Source organism: Homo sapiens, chromosome 9 (assembly GCF_000001405.40).
Source record: "Homo sapiens chromosome 9, GRCh38.p14 Primary Assembly".
Lineage (NCBI taxonomy): Eukaryota > Metazoa > Chordata > Mammalia > Primates > Hominidae > Homo > Homo sapiens.
Genome location: NC_000009.12, coordinates 119,951,987 through 119,976,655, shown reverse-complemented (window position 1 = coordinate 119,976,655; position 24,669 = coordinate 119,951,987). Strand labels below are relative to the sequence as shown.

The 24,669-nt window shown below is 43.9% G+C and overlaps 2 long non-coding RNA genes across 2 annotated transcripts in view, besides 3 other annotated features; one reads left to right on the top strand and one right to left on the bottom strand.

Moving 5' to 3' along the window:
* Positions 1-2,333: 2,333 nt before the first annotated feature.
* On the bottom strand, positions 2,334-2,989 carry LOC107987123 (uncharacterized). Its single transcript, XR_001746920.2, has 2 exons — positions 2,806-2,989; positions 2,334-2,519 (listed from the first exon to the last, which is right to left on the bottom strand). It is a non-coding gene; the product is annotated as an uncharacterized LOC107987123 (long non-coding RNA).
* Positions 2,990-7,110: 4,121 nt separating this feature from the next.
* Positions 7,111-24,669, top strand: part of LOC107987122 (uncharacterized) — a 101,852-nt gene continuing 84,293 nt past the window's right edge. The window contains exon 1 of the long non-coding RNA XR_001746919.2: positions 7,111-7,562. This is a non-coding gene — a long non-coding RNA (uncharacterized LOC107987122). The remainder of the gene's footprint in view (positions 7,563-24,669) is intronic.
* Positions 7,794-8,294: an enhancer, noted in NCBI's record as "H3K4me1 hESC enhancer chr9:122730640-122731140 (GRCh37/hg19 assembly coordinates)". NCBI's record gives its function as "activates a minimal SCP1, AML or CMV promoter by ChIP-STARR-seq in primed H9 embryonic stem cells {active_cell/tissue: H9 hESC(primed)}" and the evidence as "EXISTENCE:reporter gene assay evidence [ECO:0000049][PMID:30033119]".
* Positions 12,356-12,951: an enhancer, noted in NCBI's record as "OCT4-NANOG-H3K27ac hESC enhancer chr9:122725983-122726578 (GRCh37/hg19 assembly coordinates)". NCBI's record gives its function as "activates a minimal SCP1, AML or CMV promoter by ChIP-STARR-seq in naive and primed H9 embryonic stem cells {active_cell/tissue: H9 hESC(naive and primed)}" and the evidence as "EXISTENCE:reporter gene assay evidence [ECO:0000049][PMID:30033119]".
* Positions 12,952-13,549: an enhancer, noted in NCBI's record as "H3K27ac hESC enhancer chr9:122725385-122725982 (GRCh37/hg19 assembly coordinates)". NCBI's record gives its function as "activates a minimal SCP1, AML or CMV promoter by ChIP-STARR-seq in naive H9 embryonic stem cells {active_cell/tissue: H9 hESC(naive)}" and the evidence as "EXISTENCE:reporter gene assay evidence [ECO:0000049][PMID:30033119]".

Below are 24,669 nucleotides of genomic sequence, written 5' to 3'. Positions count from 1 at the left end.
AGAAAGGCCTCAGAATGAAACCAATTATGCCAACGCCTTGATTTTGTACTTTTAGCCCCAAAACTGTGAAAAAGTAAATTTATGTTGCTTAAGACACTCAGCCTACGGTACTTTTTCATGGCAGCCATAGCAAACTAAGGCACACAGCCTCTGCTACCTTTCTAAGTTAAATCAAGGAGCTATCTGGAGCTGAGACCTTCAATAGGAAGCACTCTCAGAGCCAACCCACAAAAGGCTTCAAGGTCTCTGGCATGGGGAGGAGAAGGAGCCTTAGAACTTTATGGCAACTGAAAGAATGCTGATGTTTCACCTTCATGGGCTGTTTAGAACCTACGCTCATGTTCTTAGGAGTTGCCACCAAAACTATGGTGGTAGAAAGTCAGACATTGTCATGCCCAGTCTAGTCTGGCAGTGCATGGCAAGCATTTGAAATTCACCCTCCTTCTCTCTGGAATTCTGAGGGAAGTTAGTACAAAGATCAATAGACAAATGAGAAGTCGAGTTTGACTTTTTTTAAAGTGAAGTGATTCTTCATAACCTGGTGCAAAGCACTGGTAAAAACTGAAGAACGTGGAAGAGGTCCTCACACAGGAGGCTTGAGGAAGCTTTTCTCCAGTTGCCCTGGATCTCTATTTCTGTCATACTTCATTATCTGCATCCAGAAAATTGATGACTGGGGTTAGGGTTAGGGAAGAAAGACCAGTTGGAAGCATAAGACACATGAGCACATTTCCCCTAAAGTGTGGATGTGCTAAGCTGGTCCAACTGCCTAGCCCTTGCCTGGGGCAGTAACCCTGGCCAGGCTGCCAACATGGAAGAAAAGGCCACAGTAAGGAGGTGACTGGGGATTGAGTGCTTTTCAGAGCCTTGGTGCTTTCAGCAGTTCATGAAGCAGGAAATAAGATTAAATAGGAAATAGGCCTTCTGCATGTGAATGCAAGTGAAATATTGGAGAAGAGGGCAGGCTTTTCACATGCTGGGACCTATGCCAGTCATTAGTGAAACATGGTCCAGAACTTCAGGTCCTGCCACTCAGATGAATGCGTCAGTCCTCCTTTGGGTTGAGTTAGCAAAGGGTGGCAGGGAGCCTATTCATGCTCCTTCATTACGGGCCATGGCAGCCTAGGCTGATGTCCTGTCCATGACATAACTGACCTGTCAAGGTTACAGAGAGAATGTGACATCCCCCTTTCTGAATAAACATGCTCAAGATCCACTCTCCTACTGACCCCCTCTTTTCTATCTCTATTGCCATTAACTTCCATGCCCAAGTCCAAAATGATGGTGGGAAGATGGGCCCTGGGCTGTGAGGGCTGGTTAGGTAACTGCTCCACTTACATGTTGTGCTCCCACCTCAAGGCCTGGATGAGAGAGGTGTGAAATCTAGCAGCGCATTTCAAGCCCACATGATTCAAAATATGTTTCCTATTTTTAAATTGGGTTTATTTATATATTCAACAGTTACTTTTTATAAATAGAAATAGAATAGCAATGAAAATCTTCTTCTCTTTTTATATCTTCACAGATTCCTTAAAGTTATGGCCCTGGATTCTCCCATTTCAATGGCATTGCTCTGGCCAACGGGTCAGATGGGGCAGTGCATTTGCCTTTTCCTAGGCCTATGGCACAGTTGCTAGTTATACTTTCAGCCCATGGAGATCATGTTGGCTTTGAGAAATTTCTCTTGTGAAAAGTCGTACTAAGTTTATATTCTTTGAACTTGAGAAGGTGAGGAGTGAGGACTTGGATCGGATCAGCATTCTACTCACTCACGGTTAATGCAATGTCCCATTCAATGTCAATTGCAGCATCACTGCTAAAGTCTCTCAGGGAGGCCAGGTGTGGTAACTCACACCTGTAATCCCAACACTTTGGGAGGCCGAGGCGGGCAGATCACTTGAGCCTGGGAGTTCATGACCAGCGTGGCCAACATGGTGAAACCCCATCACTACTAAAAATACAAAAATTAGCTGGACATGGTGGTGGGCTCCTGTAATCCCAGCCACTCAGGAGGCTGAGGCAGGAGAATCGCTTGAACCCAGGAGGTGGAGGTTGCAGTGAGCCAAGATCACACCATTGCATTCCAGCCTGGGAGGCAGAGTGAGACTCCGTTTCAAAAAAAAAAAAAGGTCTCTCAGGGAATTTCATGCACTGAGCTCCCACAGGGCCCAATGTTACCAAGGCAGGCCAGATCCAGACTCCATGGGCCTTACATTCTGTGTATCACGGATCTACCCAGGAATGTGGACTCAGCCATTCAATGTCATTAAAGTCAAAGACATTCTATCCTATCCTGTTACTGTGAAAGAAATTGAAGACACACAATAAGAGCATTTGACTTGGTGCATATCAGGGATTTATTCAACAAGTCCGAACTCTGTGCCAGGAGAGCAGTACAGTGTGGAACTAGAGTTGAGGCTTTGGAATCGGTCCTGTGTTTGGAGACTGGACTCACCACAAATGGGTTGAGTAAACATTGGCAAGCTGTTTCACTTCTTTGAACTCCAGTTTGCTCATCTCTGAAAGGGGACACAAAAATGCTAGCTTTGTTGCATTGTTTCTAATATGAAATAAGGAAGTATAAGCAGGGTGGCTTGTGCTCAATAAATGTTGGCCTTGTCTCCTTGTACTTCCATCAGCACCATGCTGGGAAGTGCATTAGAACAACTATCTTGAAGGAGCTCACAGTGTGGACATAAGTTGTGGGAGGTCAGGTACAAGTTTTCTCTAGTTCTCTGTTGTATCCTTAGGTCTCAGCACTATATGTGTCCCACAGTCCACACTTGACAAGTATTTGTTGCTTACCAACTCAATATACATGGATTTCAGGAACATAAATCTGAGGCAGAACATGATCCACCTCTTGGGAGTAGTCAGGACAGCAAATGGCAGTGACTGCATTCGTACTGGAGTTTTGATGATGACCAGGATCTAGGAAGAGGGAACAGCATTACAAAGACGCAGATGGCAAGGAACAGCACACTGAGTGATAATGTTGGGGCATAAAGTAAAAGGTGACAGAGAAGGGGTGATGGGAGATGAGGCTGGAGCAGTAGGCAGGGGCCAGGGCATCGAGGACTTTGAACTTGACTCTGTGCATTTCAAGCCCACATGATTGAAATCATTCAGTGGTTCTGTGGGAACCACTGAAGGGCTTTGTTCAGAGGTGTAGCGTGGTCATACTTGCATTTTGGAAAGATCACCTGGGATGAATGGGGAGACACAAAAGTAGAGGCAAGGAAACCAGTTAGGAGACTGTTGCCATGAGCTTGGGAGGCAGTAACCATTAAGATCATGACGATGTGCAAGGAAGGGAATATCTAAGGGTAGTTGAAGCTGTGCAGATTATAGGACTCAGTTGTCACTTGGTGGCTGGTGCAAGTCCTGGGGCCTACAACCTACTTGGAAACAAAAGGGTAACCTTTGGATTCTATCCCCACTCAGTAGGATGGGAGGCCTCTTGCATTTCCTAATGAGGGCGGGGTAACGCACTGCCCTGCTGGAGGTTCCTTCCCAGAGGTGTCTGTTAAGGGCAGAGGGATCGCTGTGCCATCTCTTTATTCACCAGGGCTGTCAATCTGGAAAACAAAGGTGTTGTCAAACTGCCTTATTGAGAAGTAGTTTAAATTAACCTTGACAGGTAGATTAATAAATAATAAGGCCTGAATAGCTTATAAAAAAATCAATTACACTATAAATTTTAGAAGAGCACGTGCTCAGCTCCAACCTAGTGAAGCTGCAGCATTCTTGAACCAAATGTGCCCAAACTCAATTCCAGGCAATTTTATTTTTTGGGAGATTAGACAGGATGCATTCAGTGGGGCAGATTACTGTACATTCTGGAATGGCTAAGGGATATTTAGTGGGTGAGGATGATTTGTAGAAAACAAGATAATTTACTCTCATTCGCCTACCTGTAATGTGTAGCACGTGATTCTGGCATGTCTCTCTTTGCATAATAATTCTGCTTTGCCTGGGCTGGAAGGAACCCAAGGGTCATGTGACCTAGTAATTCTCAAACCTTCCAGACTAATATTTTGTGATGCTACCTTTATTATCCTGAAATGGGATTCATAAATTATATAACCCACCTAGACATCTCATTTTAAAAATCTATATAATGCCCAAACTGCAAAGTCAATGAAAAATAAAAAGCAAAGTAATTTATAATAAAATAATATGTATGTTGATAAGTGAATGAGTGGATGTGACTAGACTGGAAGACATAATAGCAGACAGATGATTGCTTGATAGTTACTGAAATGGATGTGTGGAATTGGCCACCCAAATACACGAACAGCATGGCCTTTCGAGTTGTAATTTTCTGAAACAGTAGCTATCTGAACAAACAAGCACAATTTCTTCTGGATTTGCATGATACCGGCATCCAGGAAAATTCAGTGTATATACATGTATGTTACAATCATGCAAAAATGCTTTCTCTATGTGTGAAATGGAACTAGGATCTAGACCCAGATAATTACAACGTAGACTTTTCATTTATATGTCAGGTGAAACATCCCAAAATTGAGTGGGGTGTGGTCGAGTTCTTCATTGGCTCGGTCTTCTCTTTTGCCGCAGGCTGTCTAGCATCCAAACTCCAGTGGAATCCCTTCTATCTGTTGTGACAACCAAAACTGCCCTGGAACTATCTAAATCATTCTTTAGAGGTACAGTTGCCCATACTGAGATCAATAGTTCTTATTTAACCTCCTCATGGTTTGGATGGAGATACAAAAAGCCACGAAGGGGAAGAACTTGTTCCTGGTAAAGGGAGGTTGGAACCCAGGTCTCATGTCTGCTGGCTCAGTGCTGTCCCACTGGCCTGACTCTCCTGCAAAGTTGGTCCTCCTGCAAATGTCTTCGAAAGCTGGTCTATAGAGAGATCCTTTTGTTCAATGGAGGTTCAGCCCTTAACCTGGCCAGTGTGAATTCTGGGCTTCTGTACTGTGTGTATATTCTTAAAGTGAGATGCATCTGCAGTTTAACATTTTTTGTGCCTATTTTCTAATCATTCTCAGCAAAGGTGTGTAAAGGACTGAGGATAACACTGTATGCCTTGTGATCTACAGAGCATTGGAAACACTTTCTGCATCAACATTTCTTCCCACCGACTGGCTAGGATGCCTAGAATTTCCCCATACCTTTGAGTAAAGCCATTTAAAGTTTCCTTTAAAATGCAAACACTTTTGATTTACTCACATGAATTCTTCAGTGACCTCTTAGGTCCTCAGTTGCTTTATCTATATAATAGGGATAACACACCTACTTCATAACTGTTATGAAGATTAAATGTGATTAATGAATAAAATTAAAACACTTGTGATAGAGTAAGTGGCAAAACCTTGTTTATCTTCCGACCTCTTCACAAAGAGGTCTGGTGGGTATAAGGCGCACATACTGCTACTCATTCCCACCAATCTCAAGGCAGACATCACCAATTTATTTCAGCACTCTTATGCATGGACACCAACACGGCCTTGGGTAACTTCTCGGATTAGAACTCCAGGCAGCCAAGACTAATTGGAATCAGCACAGGAATTGAAAGCTTTCTTTATCTTTGCTTTAGCTAATTGCTGGACATTAACTCCCTTTATGTTAATGAGAGATGAGATAATCCCTCAGCTACCAGAGCCTGGAGGGACAGAGAAAGTTTTATGGAGAAGCAAAAGATGACAGAGAAAGAAGAAGGGAAGGTACATCAGAATGTCCAAGAACAGGGCACTGAGCTGCTGGCACACAGCATAAGCCCTGCCTTCAGAAGTTAATAAGCCACACGCAAGGCACCTAGCATGCGCCTGTCACACATGGGTGCTCAATATCCAATGGTCCTCTTCCTGCTTGTTTGCTTCCCTCACTGTTTGGTCAGGTCTCCGAACTAAGGCACCTTGCTGCCATATTGCCCATAGAGTTCAACCCAACTTTAATGATAATCAAGAACCATTGGGCTGAGCGCGGTGGCTGGGTGTAATCCCAGCACTTTGGGAGGCCAAGGCGGGCGGATCACGAGGTCAGGAGATGGAGACCATCCTGGCTAACATGGTGAAACCCCTTCTCAACTAAAAAAAAAAAAAAAAAGCCAGGGGTGGTGGCGGGTGCTTGTAGTCCTAGCTACTCGGGAGGCTGAGGCAGGAGAATGGCATGAACCCGGGAGGTGGAGCTTGCATTGAGCCGAGATTGTGCCACTGCACTCCAGCCTGGGCGACAGAGTGGAGACTCTGTCTCAAAAAACAAAAAAAACAAAACAAAAAAAAACAAAAACAGAATCATTGGCCAGGTGTGGTGGCTCACACTTGTAATCCCAGCACTTTGGGAGGCCGAGGTGGGTGGGTCACAAGGTCAGGAGATCGAGACCATCCTGGTCAACATGGTGAAACCCCATCTCTACTAAAAATACAAAAAATTAGATGGGCGTGGTGGCGTGTGCCTGTAATCCCAGCTACTCGGGAGGCCGAGGCAGGAGAATCGCTTGAACTAGGGAGTCGGAGGTTCCAGTGAGCCGAGATCGTGCCACTGCACTCCAGCCTGGCAACAGAGTGAGACTCCATCTAAAAAAATAAAATAAAATAAAATAAAATAAACCATTAACATTTACCAAGCATTTATCACGAGCATTTATCACGTATCAGAAATCCTTCTCAGTACTTTCTATAGATTATGTTAACTTAGCCTCCTAATATCCTCGTGAGGTGGATACTATGATATTTCCCATTTTACAGATAAATAACAAAGGGCCCAGAGAAGTTAAGTTATGCTCCAGCTAGCCAGTAGTGGAGCTGGGATCTGAACCTATAGGCTTCTGCTGTTGAGGACAGTGGGATCATGCTGCCTTCCTGCACCACTGTGAGCCTGGCCCTGTGCCGGTGATAGGAGGTGAAGGGCATAGTCCTTGACATCAAGGGGCTTTTGTTCTGGCAGTAGAGGCTGGTGGTGAGCCATCCTTGGAAGGTTTCTGGGGGTGACTGGTCAGAAAAGGAGGAGCTGCGGTCAAGCAGGTGAGGTGTTGGAGGCTGAGATCCGGGTGTCAATGTTCAAAGTTTGAATTTGTACTCTATTGAGGCAAGGGGTAACCCAGGGGTATAAGAACTGAAGACACTAGAAATACTGCATTCTCTATTTCTAAAAGTCAAAGACTGTGTGATTCTAAGACTCCACCCCTATAGCTTAGAGAGTTAATTTTTCTATAATTTCATAATTCCTACATGCTAGAATTAAAAGGTTCTATGATCTCACATTTCATTTTATTATAGAATCCACCCACAGAGCCAGAAGCAGGCTTCCCCGCATCCCCTTTGGTTATGTTTGGGAATCACTGCGGCTTTCCTTGCCTTCTGGCTGTTGCCGCTGTTGCCCTCTAGATGGCGCCCAGCCTTCTGAGCAATAGTGCAGGACACCGGCCCGGAGACTGCACAGCTCCAGAGAGCTTCGAGGGCCAAGTCTGCAGTTTGGTTGCTTCCTCCTGAAATCAACGTGGGAGTCTTAAAAGCACGGGGAGAATAGTCTACTCAGCAGGGAGCATTTCGGGATGATGCAGCCATTCATAGGAAGCATGGAGAGGCTTGGTAAGTGTCATGCCAAACAAGCACCCTGAAAGAGGATTGTCATCACTGCTTTGCAAATGAGGAAGCTGAGGCGCGGAGCGGTGAGGTAACTTGGTTCAGGCCCCAGAGTTAGTAAATGGTAGAGCAGGTCTCAAGCCCACCTCTCTTCTAGTCCGGCTTTTCACTGCAGAGGCTGCCTCCAGAAGGACACTAGGAAAGGAGTGGGGAACATAACATGGCCCCTGGCAGCCAGTGCTGTGGTGCGGAGGGCCCATGGGTCCTAAGGGCCCAGAGGAGGCAGCCCCCCTGTGGCCCCAGCTCACCAGGGGGGCTCACTAGGACCACTGCAACTTCTTCTCCAGGAGTCTTCCTGCCTTCTGGCAGTTCCTCCTCTGCACCAGTTGGCGACCTCTTTGTGATGCAATCTGACCACTTCACTCGTTCCTTAGAATCCTTCAGCAGCTTCCCATTGCCTATGCATTTCAAAATGTCTGCCTTGAAATTTAAGCCTCTATGGTCATGGACCCCCCCATATCTGCAACCTCTTTTCATACACTTTATCTACTCTTCAACCATGATCAGCTTTTGGCTTCCTCCTTTGCTTTAAGGACCCTTGTGATTATATATTAGACCCACCTGAATAATTGAGGCTAATCTGCCCATTTCAGAGCCAGCTGACTGGCAACCCTGATTCCATCTGCAACCTTAATCCCCACTTCCTGTGGAAGGCAATGTATTCACAGCTTCTGGTGATTAAGACTTGGACATCTCTAGGAGGACATTATTATGCCTAGCACCTGTTCCATGTTCTCTCTGGCCTGCATACTTTTGCCTAAAATGCCATTTCCCCCTTCCACAACTGGAAAACTCCTATTCTTTCTTAAGGATTTAGCTCCAGTGTTGCCTCCCTTGTGAATTCTCTCCTGAGAGCAGTTAGATGCTCCTCCCTCTTTTGGGTTCCTACATTACCTTGTGTGTGCGTGTGCACGTGTGCGTGCATGTGTATAACACTTCTCAGACTGTAATTTTACTATTTGTTCTCTTGATCGTGAGCTCCCGACAAGAGTAACCTGATTTACTCAGCTCTGTTTACTCAGTACCTGTTTACTGCCTGATACAGTGTTTGTGTTCAAGAAAAGTTTATTGAGTAGGAGAATGAATATAGTGAAAGCTGGAAGTTGGGAAGCCTGCTATATTTTAATTTAATTTTTCAATTTTAATTACGAATTTTGGACATCCCCTTTCTGGGACTCAGTTCTCCCACCCTGTAGAATTCATGTCAGGAATTAGAGGAACTTGGTCTCAGTTATGATTAGGCACAGCTGAGAGTGCTTACAGAGTAGCTTAAATGGGGTGAAAGCTTATTTCTTGTTCACTTGAAAGTCCACGGCTGCTAGTGGCTGGACTTGTTGCCCATGAAAGAAACCAGGAAGAGCAATTCTAAAGAGATGTCCAATAACAAAGTATCATTCTTCTAGCATTGAAGTCATCAGCCTGGTGGCTGAGATCTTTCCAAGTTTCCAGATCTTTTACCTGAGGTGGTGTGGAGGCAAGGGATGATTAGATTGACAACTAATCTCAACCCTTACCTGCCACTTACCTCCCAATCAAGTGGTGGTCATACCATTGGTCATGTGATAGCACCCAGCTCTTTCCAATTCATCCCTCCACCATCTCTATGATGTGCCCTTTGACTTCAAGGTCCAAGGAGAAACTCTAGCCATCATATCCATGTTTGTCACAGAATTATGGAGGAAGGCAGGGAGGAAAGGGCAGACGATACCCAACAAACAACTGTATCTTCAGAGAGGTTTGTGAAAGTTTCCACTCAACACCTGTGTTTGCGTCCATTCACTAGAATTAAGTCACATGGCCACACCTAGCTGCAAGGGAAGCTGAAGAATGTACCCTCTATTCTGGGCAGCTAGATTCTGTTGTTATGAAACAAGGGGAGCATGGATATTAGGGGGCCCTCTAGCAGCCTCTGCCGTAAGCTGTAATTTTCCAAGGATTAAGAAGGTGAAGAGGGGCATGCTGGCATCTTTGATGTATCATGACTCATCCTAAAGAAGTTTAGTAGTAACAGGAATGCAGTGAATCTGGAGGAAGGCAAAGGCCTTTACCTTAAGGCTGGGTGACTTTGATTGGACAGCTATTTGCATATCTACCTTTCTTCCATCCTCTCCATCTTAGCTAATTGATCTGGGATACAGCACTTGCATTAAAAAACTGAGTTTACCGATCTCGGAGCTAGTTACAGCCTGTAAATTGGGTCACTTTACACTCTGGCTTGTCTGGGACCATCCTGGTTTATGCCTGTTGTCCTGTGTAATGATCCAGAATGCCTCTCCCCTTCTCAGAAGTGTCCCAGTTTGAATGAAAAATTATATAGTCACTTGCCTATAAACAGTGTAGCATACTGGAAGAGAAGGGAAATAGTGATTTATATTTGACTCCCAGGAATATGAAATCTAGAATTCAGGCTTTTTTTAAGGTTTGGGCCAGTGGAAAGGTAGAGGACATGGAATCAAGATATAAGATATTGGGAATATCAGTCCTCACAGGATGAAGAGCCTCATGAGTAATAGCATCCACTGACTTTCAGAAATATATATAAGGTTCTATCCACCTGTCTCAAAAACTCTTCTTCAGCATAGCTTTTTATGACCATCCAACTGAAAGTGGCCTCCCCCACCTCCATTCCTTCTTGTTCTCTTACCTGGTTTTGCTTAATATGTAGCACTTTTCAATATTTGAACTTGTTTCTTCATCAGATTACATGTTTATTTTATGTTTCTTCCCATAGCTTCTGCCACTAAGAATCTAAACTTCCTATGATCACAGGACTTGTTATCACCTTCACTTTTGTGTCCTACTGTGTAGGACATATTATATTAATATATGATTAACCTATGGGTGGATGATTGGGTGAATGTGGGTGGTTAAGATAGTTTTTTGGAAGGTGGAAAGGTGAAAAAATCAGGAAGAGATTGGAAAGGTGGAAGGTGGCAGGTGGAAAAATCGGGAAGAGATTTAGAAGTCACTCAAAATTGGGAAGAGATTTAGAAGTCGCTAAAATTAATACTTATACAATGTTTACATAAACTTTTTCTGCATTGGACTGGGATGAGCCTTGGTGTGATCTCTAAGACACGGGATAGACCACATTGGCAACAAAATCCACAAAGGCTTTGCCAGTCAGAAGGGCCAGAGCATCATGGGGAGGTGGATTCTGGTGGTTGTAACACATGCCACTCATTTTCTGTTCTGCCAATGCTATTGCATTAGTTTCCTGGGGCTGCTATAAATAAAGTACAAACTGGGTGGCTCAAAACAACAGAAATTAATTCTTATAGTTCTGAAGGTTAGAAGTCCAAAATCAAGGTGCCTGTGGGGCCATTCTCCTCCTGAGGGCTCTAGGGGACAATCTTTCCTTGCCTCTTTCTAGCTTTGGTGGTTGCTGGCAATACTTGCTCTTCCTTGGTTGAAAACACATCACTGTAATCTCTGCCTCCATCATCATATGGCATTCTTTCTGCACATATCTCTGTGACCAAATTTTCCTCTTTTTATAAGGACACCAGTCACTGGAGTAGGGTCTACCCTACTGCAGTATAACCTCATCTTATATTGATTGCATTTGCAAAAATCCTATTTCCAAATAAGATCACATTCACAAATATCAGGGGTTAGGACTTCAACATATCTTTTTTGGGAATGCAGTTCAAGCCACAACAGCTATGGCACTGATGGGATTAAAGAGGTGTGAATCTTCCTTCTTTTTCTTGCTCATCCGCCATCCTAGTAAAGGGATCCTAAGCATTTTCAAAATCAGGCTCAATCCATTTGGCCCTGAGCAAGTGCACAGACTTTTCATTTTCTCACAGGCCCCCTCTCTGGGTTATCAATAAAAAGTAATCCTATGCTGCAAACTCTTTGCCCATAAGAGAAACCAGGAAAAGCAATTCCAAAGAGATGTCCAATAACAAAGTATCCTCATAGCATTAAAGTCATCAGTCTGGTAGCTGAGATCTCTCTAAGTTTCCAGGTCTTTTACCTGAGGTGGTGTGGAGACAGGGGGATGATTGACCTCTAAGAATCTCAGCCTTGCCTGGTGCAGTGGCTCATGCCTGTAATCCCAGCACTTTGGGAGGCTGAGGCGGGCAGATCATGAGGTCAGGAGTTCAAGACCAGCCTGGCCAACATGGTGAAACCCTGTCTCTACTAAAAATTAAAAAAAAATTAGCTGGGTATGGTGGTGCATGCCTGTAATCCCAGCAACTTGGGAGGCAGAGGCAGGAGAATTGCTTGAACTGGGGCGGTGGAGGTTGCAGTGAGCTGAGATTGTACTACTGCACTCTAGCCTGGGCGACAGAGTGAGACTTTGTCTTGGGGAAAAAAAAAAAAAAAAAAAAAAGAAAAGAAAAAAGAATCTCAGCCTTTGCGCTGCAAATTAAGTGTTGTTCATACCATTATGCATGTTATGGTCCAGAAAGAGTCTTCTTTCAGGGGAGAGAGGCAAAGACGTTGAAGAATATGGTGAGATGTCAGGTGACCCAGTTCTTCTACTGACAGAGGGGGACTGTCTCTCTGAGCCTGGATTTTCTAATCTCTAAAGTGTGCAAATGAACTTCTGTTATTTTACTCCCAAGTTTGCTCTGAAGATTGATTATGAGAATAGATATAGATAAGCTTTAATAACTTCAAAATTCTTCTCTGTATGTCAGTTGTAAATGTTAAGACAGCAGGAAAATGGCCAATGGCTTTTAAATTCTTTTTGAAGTATATTCTTGCACAATTTGTTTTTTTAGGATCTGAGGCTCAGAGAGGTTAAGTCATTATACAGAGGTAGCACAGCACTTAGTTGGCACAGGAGAATCACGCTGCCTCCTGTTTCTTCTTGGGTTTTTGGTCTTGGCTGTTTGTCCCCTCCAAGTATGACAATTGAGCTGGCATTGTGCTCTCCCCTTTAGCCCTTGTCTCCCCCACCTGCCTTCTCCCATACTCCCCTGGGAAAGTGCTGAGGACTAGCAGGAGGCTTTGCTTTCCAGGCAGCAAGGCTTTCATGAGTTAATGGGAAATCTGTTTGTGGTTTTCTTCGTCACAGCATGAGGGAGGAAGTGGCACGTCTGGAATGTGAAGCAGCCTGAGGCTGTGAGCAGGGATCCAAATGCTGCCCAGCCCGAGGGGAGGCAGCCAGGGTCTGAAGCTGCAGCCAGCAGCCCGGACCAAGGTGAATGTTCTTGGGGTCACACACCCAAGGAAGAAGATCTCAAGTCACTGACTGTGTGTGTGTTCACTGCCTTGTCTGGTTTCATCCTGACTCCTGTGATGCTTGTCTGCTTCTCCATGTGCCCACAGGTTTTAGAGTTTTCAAAACATTTTCACACTCTGTATTTCATGTAATCCTCACAATAAGCCCACAAAGAAGTTGGATTAATTCTCCCCATTTTGTAGATGGAGAAACTGAGACCCCACATGAAAAGAGACTTGCTTAGGTCACATAGGAGAGCTGGGAGCATCCAGAGCTTTCTTTGCCACACCACACCACAGATTATGCTACAGCTCCCATGGCTTTTCCGTGGGTGTCCTGCAAGCCAATCAAGAACAGGCTTCCTTGTCCTCTCACATCACCCAGCCTCGTGGCCCAGGAGCCCTGCTCTCTGGTTGGTCGCTTCACCTCTCTATCAAGATCAGTGTCCTGAGTTTCCCAGTCTGCGTTAGCCACCTCTCCCCTTCTCTCAACCAGGCACCAGCAATCTTAATTAGTTACAGATACAGAATTCTTCTCAACTTGTGTTATTCCTGCTTTTGAAACTAGAGATTAAATTGCTTGAGAACAAATTCTTATCTAATCATGTGATGAGGCATTTTCCCAATGCGCCTAGTTTAGGTCTGAGAACATGGTAGATGATCAGTAAAGATCTGGAGATGGGCAATAATAGTAATGGCTTTTTATTAAATACTTATAACAGCATGGGAGGGAGATGCTAAGATGCAAGAAAGAATCCAGCGGAGGGTGCAATGGTTAAAGGAAAGCAAAGAACTGCCTTCTTGTTGTAAATAACCTCACAAAGGTCTAAGAAAGAGCATTCAGGAAAAGCCAGGTGCCTCACTTAGGCTGTCATATTTAATCCTTAGAAGCATGTAATGAAAATGCTATTGTTCCCATTTTAGAGGGGGAAAAACTGAGTTTCAAAGAGGCTAAGCAACTTGCCCAAGGCCTTATGGGTTGAGCAGGCAGGATCAGAAGTTAGACTCAGTTCTGTTGGATTTCAAAGCATTTCCCAGAAAAATTTCCTAGGTATCAGTTTAGGAACAATGCCTTGCACATAGTAGGTGCTTAATCAATGCCTATTAACCAATGTTGACCTTTATAGTCATTCTTAGAGAGACTTGACAGCTGGTGGAACCAGGTTTATTCGTGTTTATACTCCCAGCTCCTGACACATACTGAGCCCTCCATAAACTCAAGCTGTAGCTGAGGAAGCCTAGACTCCAGGAAAAAGCTACAGATGGTGTGGCCCAGGCTTGGACCCAATGCCCACCCTCTTTGTCCTGCAGGGTGCTGCCACAGATTTATAGAAAGAGATGGAGCTGAGAAGATGGTACCTGTGGACACAGGGGGTTGGGAGGCAGGACTGTATTTCATCTCAGCATTTATATTTCCCCAGAGTGGATCCCACTGCATTTCAGGACCAGTGCAAAGTACTTAATTGAAATCCGTAATTCCAGCCCTCATTAATAACCAATCTCGGCAAGCAGAGAGCTCCACGACCATTAATGATGAGCACGATGCAGACGCAGGTCTTTAGAGGGGAACAGCAAGTCCCCAGTTCATTTTACAGTTGATTAGAGTGAGTTAAACTTTGCCCTGCTTGTAAGTTGTATATTAAAATTAAGAAGTTGGCAATATGTGAAGTTATCAAAATACCACAGGTGCATTGGCGGGCCTCCAGCCGGCATCGCTCATCCTAAACAGCGTGGTGACCCCTCAGAAATGGGTCTGGGACACCATGGCACAAGATGGATAATTCAATTGAACCTAATCAGTCCCAGGGAAACGAGAGACCTTCATCAACTGTCTGCAGATGCACAAGGATCCTAGTCCGCAGGCGCGCTGGCCACAGCGGCCCCTGCTGGCAGAATCCTCCCCTTCCGTGGGTGTGATGGGAAGGATCTCTGGACTCAAATCTTGGGATCCTGGATTCTCTATTACCGACGTGCAGTGTGGCCTAGGGCAAGGTTTCCTCTTTCTCCGGTCCTCTGTTTTGCCATCTGTACAATGAGATAACTAGGCTCCATGATGTCAGACTGTCTGTAATCGGACATATTGCTCCCCAATCCATTTTTGTGGGAGTGCTGTTCCTGAGACCTTGCGGGAGATCATTGACAGCAAGTGGACAGTTCTTTGCTTTCCCTCAATCATCGCCCACCCTGTGGACTCTTTTCTTCTTTCCCATCCCCCTTCCCAGCTGTCATATTCTAGAATCTCTTCACACCCGACGATTTGCATTTCAAAAATATGTTCACATCTTGGACACTTTGTTCTTGCTCATTTAACCATCTTTGGATACCTCTTTCATTCTTTAGACATCAACTCTACCTGGGAGGCTTCTATTCACCCTTCAATACCCTTCATAAATATGCTGTCTGGTTACTTTAATGCTCCTGGGACAGTGAAAAGAGTGTGCAGTGTGGAGTCCAGGTTTGAGTTCTGCTCCTAACACTTATCTGTGACTTTGAGCCAGTCATCAAGCCTTATAGAACCTCAAATTCATTAATACGTGTTCACTGATTTAATTAATTTTAAATCGGCACATAAAAATTGTATGTGTTTATCACATACATGTATCACGTACATGATGTTTTAAAATATGTATACATTGTGGAATAGTTAAATTGAACTAATTATCACATACATTAGCTCATATACTTAACATTCTTTGTGATGAGACCACTTAAAATCTATTCTGAGCGATTTTCAAGACTACAATATATTGTTATTAACAATAGTTGCTATGGTATACAATAGATCTCAAACATATTTCTCTTGTCTAACTGAAATTTTGTATCATTTGACCAACATCTTCCCAATCAATCTCCTTACCCTCCAGCCATTTTCACCTATTAGAGAACTCGATACACATTAGAAGATCAAAAATTATCTCCTTTCTTGGCATCTAAGACAGAGTTAACTTCTTCTTCTATACCTAGGGTTGGCAAAACTTTCCTGTAAGGAGCCAGGTGATAAACACTTAGGCATCATGGGCTATAAGGTCTTGTTACAACAACACAAGTCTACATTTGTAGTGTGAAAGCTGCCATAGACAATATATAAATGAATGGGTGTGGCTGTGTTCCAGTAAAACTTTATTTATAAAAAGAGATAGTGGGCTGTATTTGGCCAGTGGGCTGTAATTTGCCAGCCTCTGCTCTATGACATCTTGGGCAAAGACTCAGCACACTGAATAGCACCTGATAGCTTATGTGTCAGTCTCTCCTGCTAGACTGTGCCTTCCTTAATGAGGGATTGCTTTATTGTTCTTTGCTTCTCTCGGACCAGACCCATGCATTATACCATTTAATTCTCTCAGCAATACTGTAAGTTAGAAACAAGTATATCCCTACTTTCTAGATGAGAATACAGAGGCAGAGAGAGTTAAATAATTTCGTTGGTAAATGGTGAAAGCAGGCTAGCCCCACAGTTCAAATCTCAACCATGACTCCACAGTAACTGGGACATGAAGATCTGACTGTCATTGGCTAACTGAGCATTGACGCCAGTAATGGCATAATTCTCCTGCCCTGCGTTTATGGGCCTGGTTTTCAGGACCTAGAAACAGGATTTACCATTGTCCCAAAGCAGCATTTATTGTGCATCTGTCCCTGTTAAATTCCACCCTGTTAGATTTGGCTTGTTTCTCAGACCTGCTCCGATCTTTTTGGATCTTGATACTTTTGTCTAATGTGCTCGTTCCCTCTATCTTTTGCTTTGGAACTGACCACCCTTTTTTTCTGGAGCTGCCCCAGCCAGAGATGACTGTTAAATTAATTTTGCATCAGTGAATAAAGGCCTGGACAGAAATTGGGTTAGAAGTTGTGTTGGTTCTTATGGTGCCTTGCCAAACCCATTTCCTGTGGATTAAGTCCTAAATCCCTATAGTTTAAAAACAAAAATCTGTTAACTTGGCACCTGGAAGACTGCAAGTCCTTGAAATTCTGGTCTAGTCTCTAAACACTCATGGTCCGAGTCAATGGAAGTGGTTGGTTTGATTTTACTGAATTATAAAATGCGGGCAACAGAAACGGATGTGAATGCTGTTCATTTTAGTTTTCATGTACCTAGCACTTCTTATGGACGAGGTTCTGTGCTAAATGCATTATACACTCAGTCTCTTTTAATGTGTACTGGGACCCTCTGGGGTATGTGACATCAGTCTCATTTCACAGATAAGGAAACTGAGGCTCAGCAATTTATCCAAGGTCACAAAGGCATTAAGAAGGGAAGCTGGACTTGTACCTAAAGCTCTCACTTCAACATCAGTCTGCTAGTACTTGACCTGTTTAGCTTGACTTATAGGAGTAAAAGACCAAGTAGCCTGTACTAATACAATTACTGTAAGAGTGGAAGGGGGCTTGGTTTACTGAATGTCTATTACATGTCCTGTGCTCTGCCAGCCTAAGGAAGTTAGGTTTTCTAACGTCTCTACAACCCAAGATTTTTTTCTTTTTTTTTTTTGAGTTGAAGTCTTGCTCTGTTGCCTAGGCTGGAGTGCAGTGGCACAGTCTCAGCTCACTGCAAGCTCCGCCTCCTGGGTTCCCGCCATTCTCCTGCCTAAGCCTCCCCAGTAGCTGGGACTACAGGCGCCTGCCACCACGCCTAGCTAATTTTTTTTTTTGCATTTTTAGTAGAGACGGGGTTTCACCATGTTAGCCAGGATGGTCTCAAACTCCTGACCTCGTGATCCGCCCACGTCGGCCTCCCAAAGTGCTGGGATTACAGGCGTGAGCCACCGCACCCGGCAAGAATTTTTTTCTTCTCATTTCATAGATTGGGAAATGGCTACTCAGAGAGGTCACACATTTCCCTCAAGGTCACAGGACTGATAAACAGTGGGGGTAACAATGAGTCCAAGGATAACTGACTTCGAAGGTTGACTCTCATCCTTGGAGTAGAGAACTCTTGCCCTTTGAAGGCACAGGGGACTCTTTAAAATAGAGATATCTGACCCTGACCCCAGCAAATTTCTGATTTAGTTGGGGGAGGGGGTCAGGGATGGAGCCCACACATCTGTATTTTTAAAAACACCCAGCAGATCTTGATATATAACCAGGGAAGGAGCCGTGCTTGTTGAGTAAGGATGGAGTTGATGAGGGTAACTGCCAAGTCCTTTTCCACTTCCCAGGAGTCTGTTATTACAGGGAATTAGAGCAATAATTATTATGTTTAGGGTCAAGAATAAGGATGAAAAAATATTAATGCTTACATCAGAGATTCAGATCACAAAGTTATAATGAGACACAAAGTCTGAAACCAAGGAGGCATGGGGGCCTGGGATTCCTAAAGTCCTGGAGGGGAGGGGAATGAGGGGGCAACCCTGCAAGGGGCAGCTGAGCATGGCACTATGAGCTTTGACCTAGACCCACCCATGCGGGTTCAAACCCTCACAAGCCATGCAGCTGCAATCAAAGCCTGCAACCACTCAGCTTTCAGTTCCCACATCTGCAGAGTGAGGATGGAGATGATGTTAGGGAGATGGAGGGGGTGTGGCGCACGCAGAGAATGCTGTATGTAGCAGGCTTGCAGTCCACATTAGCAGTTGTTGTATGTGATTGCAGGCCTAAGTTTTCTCTGATATGATGATATCCAAAGGCAAGGCTTTTCCACTCTCTGGCCAAAAGAAATCCAATGCACTTACTTATCCAAGGCAAGGTTGAGCACAAGCTAAGCCCCCAAATGTGACTGTGTTCCTACTACGTGTCTCACCTGGATCTGTTCCCACATTCCTACAAGTGTCAAAGAGAGAGGGATGGAAAGGGCTGTGGGTTTCAAGGACAAGGTACCCAACGCTTCCTGGGGCCACCTAGCAGAGGGGACGAGAGAGTGGGGATGCTGCAAGGAGGGTAATAGCCAGCAAGTGTCCAGTCTCACTGCAGGAACAACAAGCATCGTGCTAACAGCTTCCCGTGCGTTATTTCATTTAACTCTTTCCCCATACCCTGACCATCTGTGTTTGAGGAAGTCGCCTCCCTTTTCTGGGCTTTGGTGTTTCTCCCTGTACAACAACATTTTAAGACTGGGTGATTCCATTTAAGGCAAGCATGGGTACAAGCCTCTTTCATTTTTATGACCCTGTGTACCTTCCTGAATTAAAAAATAAAAATAAAAAATAAATGCAAAAGGAAACATATATCAGCTGATTTCTGAGGCCCCAGCTGGTCTAAGATGGACAGTGACTACTGTAAAGAAGAGCATTCATGAATTCTTCCCTGAAAATATTTATTGAGTGAGAATTCTGTAACAAGCACTGTGATGAGCATTGGCTAAACAATGGTAAGTAATGACAGGAGCTGGCATTTATTGTCTACTTGCTGTGTGCCAGACTCAGTCATGAGCTTTTTGCATGTATGTATTAATATTTAATTCATTCTAAATTCCTATGTTATCATCCCAAGTTTCCAGATAAGGAAACAGATTCAGAGAGGTTAAATGACTTTCTTGAGGTCACACAGCTGTAAGTGGCAGAATGTGGGTGAATGAGGCAGCAGTCATCCCTGCCCTCAGGGGACTTAGAGTCTATCAAGGGAGACAGAGGAACAGATGGTTAGGACAGCAGGTTGATAGGCCTATAGATGTGTTGATGGGCCCAGAGGAGGTGCCTCACCCAGACTTAGGGGCATCAGGGAAGACATTCTGGAGAGAGTGACAGATCAGTAGAAAATAATTATGAATTACTAGTATAATTTTGAGGGCTGGGGGGGTGGAGCAGGTGGATTGGATGTGTCTGCCAGTCAGAGGGCACAGGATATGAAGCCTTGGCGATGAGAAAATTCATGGACCATTAAAAATAGAATGAAAGTTTTCAATGTGTCCTGAGATGTTGGGTCAGGGTTACAGATTACAGTGAGCACTTCATTACCTGGGGGCAGGGTCTTTCGTCTCTGCCTGATCCCCCTGCTGGGGCAGGAGTAAAACCTTAAGGTCCCCTAATTCTCCAAGGGCTCTTGGGTTTTCATTTGGTTTCAGAAGCCCCTTCCAATTACATTAACTCACTTCGATATTGGTTCTGGGCCATTCATGAAACATCAGACCAAAAAAAAAAAAAAAAAAAAAAAAGAAAGAAACCAATTCCAATAAAGAATCAAATTAGATGTGATTCAGAAGAGGGAATCATCAAAGACAACTGGATTTTATTTCACAAGGATAAAATAAATTGGCTTCTATAACAGAACAATCCAGAGCCATTACTGAGTACAAGCCCCTTTTGTAGGAACATTGAGCTATTGGGCTATAAACCTTGATTGCCTGGAAAAGGCCAAGAAGGAGACTTTCTGGATAGATGAATTATCTATATAACTGAGGTATTAAGCACTTTGCACTTAACAAAATTGTTTATCCAATGGTCTAGTCTATCCTATACCATTAATCTGAGAGCAATGACTATAATTCAGCATTAAAAAAAAGGACACACACTGTTCTTGCAATAGAAACTGCACTATGATCTATTTTGGTTTGGAATGAATTCTTACGTTCTTGGCTCCCATGAAAAACACTCCACCTCTTCCTCTATAAAACACTACTTTTTGTCTGTCTTGTTTTATAGTTGTATACTTCATCTGTTTCCTTTAGGAGACTGTATGTTCCTCAAAAACAAGGATTGTGTCTTATTTTTCTTTATATCCTCTGAAGCCCAAAGCATCCTCAGAGACCGCTTAGTCAAACTTTTCACTTCCCTGCTGAAAACCCAAGTGTTGTGAGTTAGTGGACTGGCCAGAAGGAAAACCCAGATCTCATCTCCAGTCCTGTGATTGCTCTTTCGGTTAAGTTCTCATCGTGCTTGTGTCTGCACCCTCCTGCAAGCCTTGTGCCTTCTAGAAGACAATGCAGGTTAGACTTCTGTGGTGAAGTCAGTGTAAAGAAACTCCAAGCAAGAATAGGAGGTACTTGCCTTGACATTAGACACCTGGGCTGGTAATGATCTCTTTGGTTGTGCAGCTGTGGTTGTTTTCTTTGTTTTCCATCTAACATAGTGATTAAGATCATGGATCTGGGGTAGACGGATCAGCTCTGCCACTTACTAGCTGTGTCTCCTTAAGCAAGTTACTCAGGCTATGTGAGCTTCTGTTTCCTTCTTGGCAAAAAAGATTGGTTGTGAGGATTTAATGCGATGAAGCATTTAAGTGCTTGGGTGGGTCTCTCTCTTTGGAGGTAGCGTTACTGCACTATTCAGATCATGTTCTGAACAGGTGAGATTGTGAGATTACCTAATTCCCAAATAGGTGAGGAGTCACCATATCAAAATATATGTTGGGAGTCTTGGGACATTATCTAATAATGACTATCCTCTTACACCAAGCTCTCTGCCCTGGCTTTTCCCCACAGGATGTTGGGCTGAGCTGCAGCAGTGATTTCACACAAACAGGACCCAGGATGACAACTTTTATTATCTAAACATATAACCGGAGGCTTTGGAATTGGGCCAGAGTCAGGGAATTTAAAAGTAAGAAAATATTTTTGAAAAAAAGAAGTGATTGTTGCTTACGGGTTTTTACACAGATTCCACGGCTTTAACCATTCCAATTCACTCTGCAACCTGTAGTAAAGATGTCCCTATTGCTCAGATGTCCCCCTGGTAGTAAAGATGCCCCTATTGCTCAGATGTCCCCCAAATCACATTGCCCTGACCTCCTCTAGACCCATGACCCATCCATTTGGAGTCACTATTTCTTGCTGATTAAAAGCATAGAGTTGGGTCCCAACTCCGCTACTTGCTTGCTGTATGATCTTGGAAGAGTTACTTAACATCTCTAAGACTCAATTTCTTGATCTATAATGCAGGAGTGATAATGTATATGGCATATAGTATATGGAAGAATCAGGATAAACCTTCTTTTTTATTTCTGATAGAGGTTAGTTCAGTTTATATTAGTTTACATTAGCTAAAAAAGAGATGAAAAGGTCCCTCAAAGAAAAACACAATTGCAAGTTTCCAAAAAATTATAGATCATTACAAGTTTTGTGGACAGAATACATTTGCATTATCCAAATGTGGCATTAGGGTAGCAAACTGATCTTTTGTAAAGAGAAAATTTGTACTTTTAGATCTAAAAATAAGAATGCAATGTGGCTAACATGTTTATTTATATGCATTGGCCCCCTCTTTAAGGAACTTAAAAAACACTATAGATACAATGAAATACTCTCTCATAACATGTAGGCAGGTCTGTGCATCACTGTCATCATTTTATAGTCATTAAGGTCTAGAGACGTTAAATGACTTGCTCAAGGTCACACAGTAAGTTTAGCTTAAACCTCAGGCCCACTGACTTAGGGATGGCCCATTAAAACACTATACCCTGTCCACCAAATAAAGAACCCCAAGCAAAACACTGATTGTTGAAGAAGGAAAATAGCTATTGAGCTATGGAAGTTGACATTTAGCCAGCCAGAAATCATTAATGTGGCCAGGTTTAAGGAGAGCTCTATTAAACTGTCCATCAAACATTTTACTCTTAAATGAATTTATTGAGAAAGAGAAAAGAACATGGTAGAGAGAACGTATTAGAAGTGGCTTTTTCTTTGTCTGCTGGAAGTTCAGGGTGAGTGGCAGGGAAAGAGGATGCCCCTGGAGGAGAAGATTTTTTTAGAGTAAAAGGAGGAATTTCTTAGGGCTTTGGAGCCAGGGAGAACCAGGTTGGAGTGTTGGTAATTAAAAGTATTAATGTGCCATCAGACACATTTCTTTTCTTCTCTGAGCATCAGAACAATGTTGCGAGGATCCACTTTCATGATGCAGGTAAAAGGTGGATCCTGGCTCACTGTCACTGTATTGTGTGTAGTTATTTGATATGATTGCTGTTATAGTTGGTGAAAAATAAAAGAAGAAAAGGAGTTGAGCTCCAGAAGCTAAACAGGGGAAGACCCAGAGTAACCAAGCAAGTCAAGCATGTTAACAGGAGAGGAAAGAGAAGGGTGAAAGAGCATAGGCCAGGTTCAGTGTCATCATCAGCGAGGTCCAGAAATAGAAAATGTGCGTCTCCTCAGGGAGGAGCAGCCCAGAGATTCAGGAGGGGTGGAAAGAAGTGGATAGCCATAGGTAGAGAGAGGCACGTAAAACTTTATTTTCAAATGGGGATACAAATTCTAGCCCCCTTCCTGCACAGAGTGGCTAGAGGATTAAGTTGGATCTCTCACCCTGCATGCTAGCCCCTGTGATATGTGCTGGCAACCCATAAAAACAAAGCTGCAGCCCAAATTGCCATCGTGGTTTTCGTTCCAAGCCACTAGCCATAACCCACTCCTTGATAGAGACATCTATTCTGAATCCAGCCCTCTTGGCTGTTACCCTTCATTTCTTCATTCATCAAACCTGCCTGAGCACTGGCACTCACTACCCTTAAAGGTGCACAGGTAAGACAAATGGCTGAGGTGGGGACTGTGGGCACACAGGGGAATCCTTAACCTTGTTTGGTATCCAGAAGAAGGCGATGTCTGGGCTTGCTCACAGAGAATGAGTAGGGGCCAAGCAGGATAAAAGGAAGGAGGAGGTCATTCCAGGAAGAGGAAATAGTGAAGCAGGGCCCAGGGGAAATAAATCACTTGGCTACTGTAGAGATTCGAGCCATTTCAGGTGATTAAGATGTAAAGAATGGGTTGGAGACAGTCAAGAGAAGGCTTTGGAGAAGACATCTGGGCTCAGATTATGGGAGACCCTGTGTGCCATGTTCTAAAACTTGGGCTTTTTTCCTGGGGGCAGTGGGGAGCCCTCAAAGGGTTTGTTTTAGAGAGAGAGAGAGTGAGAGAGAGAGAGAGAGAGAGAGAGTGTGTGTGTGTGTGTGTGTGTGTGTGGTGTGACCAAATATTTGGGAAAGAGCAACCTAGGGTTGTCTGTAGGAGAAGGGGAGGAATGGACATAGGGTAGAGACCAGTGAGAAGGCTGCCCCATCCATCCATTATTCTCTGGCCTGGCCCTTTGGATCTGACACTTGGCACCATGTTTCCTGGATGAGGACTTAACTCTGTTGGTCAAAAGTTCTGGGTCTCAACTCTGTGTGTTTCCTTGGGTGGCCACAGCTAATTATGTCATATTTGAATGGATTCCTGGATCTTCCTGTCTGGGCAAGGAGAGAAATGAGACAAAAATGTCTTGTGCCCTGGAAAATCCTCTTGAGGATGGTGGAAACACCTGCAAGAGACCAGTTGAGTTCCTGAGAGGACTAAAAAATCAACAACCTATCCCTGAGGATCTCAGGTCCTGGGCCGGCTTGCCTGCCTGCCTGCCTGCCTGCCTGCCTGCCTTCCTTCCTTCCTTCCTTCCTTCCTTCCTTCCTTCCTTCCTTCCTTCCTTCCTTCCTTCCTTCTTTCCTTCCTTCCTTGTATAGAAGAATCAATAATGCTTAGTCTCTTACATCAAGAGGAGCTTTAAAGGTTAGAGTCCGGTAGCATGTTGTGACATTGGAGGAGGGGGGTCACAAAAAAGGATGAGGCTAGTTGTATCAAGATTTGAAAGGGTTTTCTAGTGGAAATGATACCTGTGTTTCTGATTCTCTGAAGATAAGCAGATACCCTCCAGTCGGAAAGGACAACAGGCATTCTGAGAAAAGGGGGTTGTGTAAGCAAAACCTCAGAGGATGGAAAAGTATAATAAGGACAAAAGAGCTGTAGGACATGGTGGCTTGTTGGAGAAATTGAAACTCCAGGACCTTACCTTATGATATAGCTGGACTTGCATTCCATTTCTACCATCCCAGCCATGTGAGCTTGTGCAAGTTACCTGATCTCTCTGAACCCTAGTTTTCTCATTCACGAAATGGGGGAAAATTATGTTTAATTTGTAATGTTATGAAAAGGAATAAATGAGATGGTAATTGAAAAGCATCTAGCACAGTGCTTGTTCAATAAACA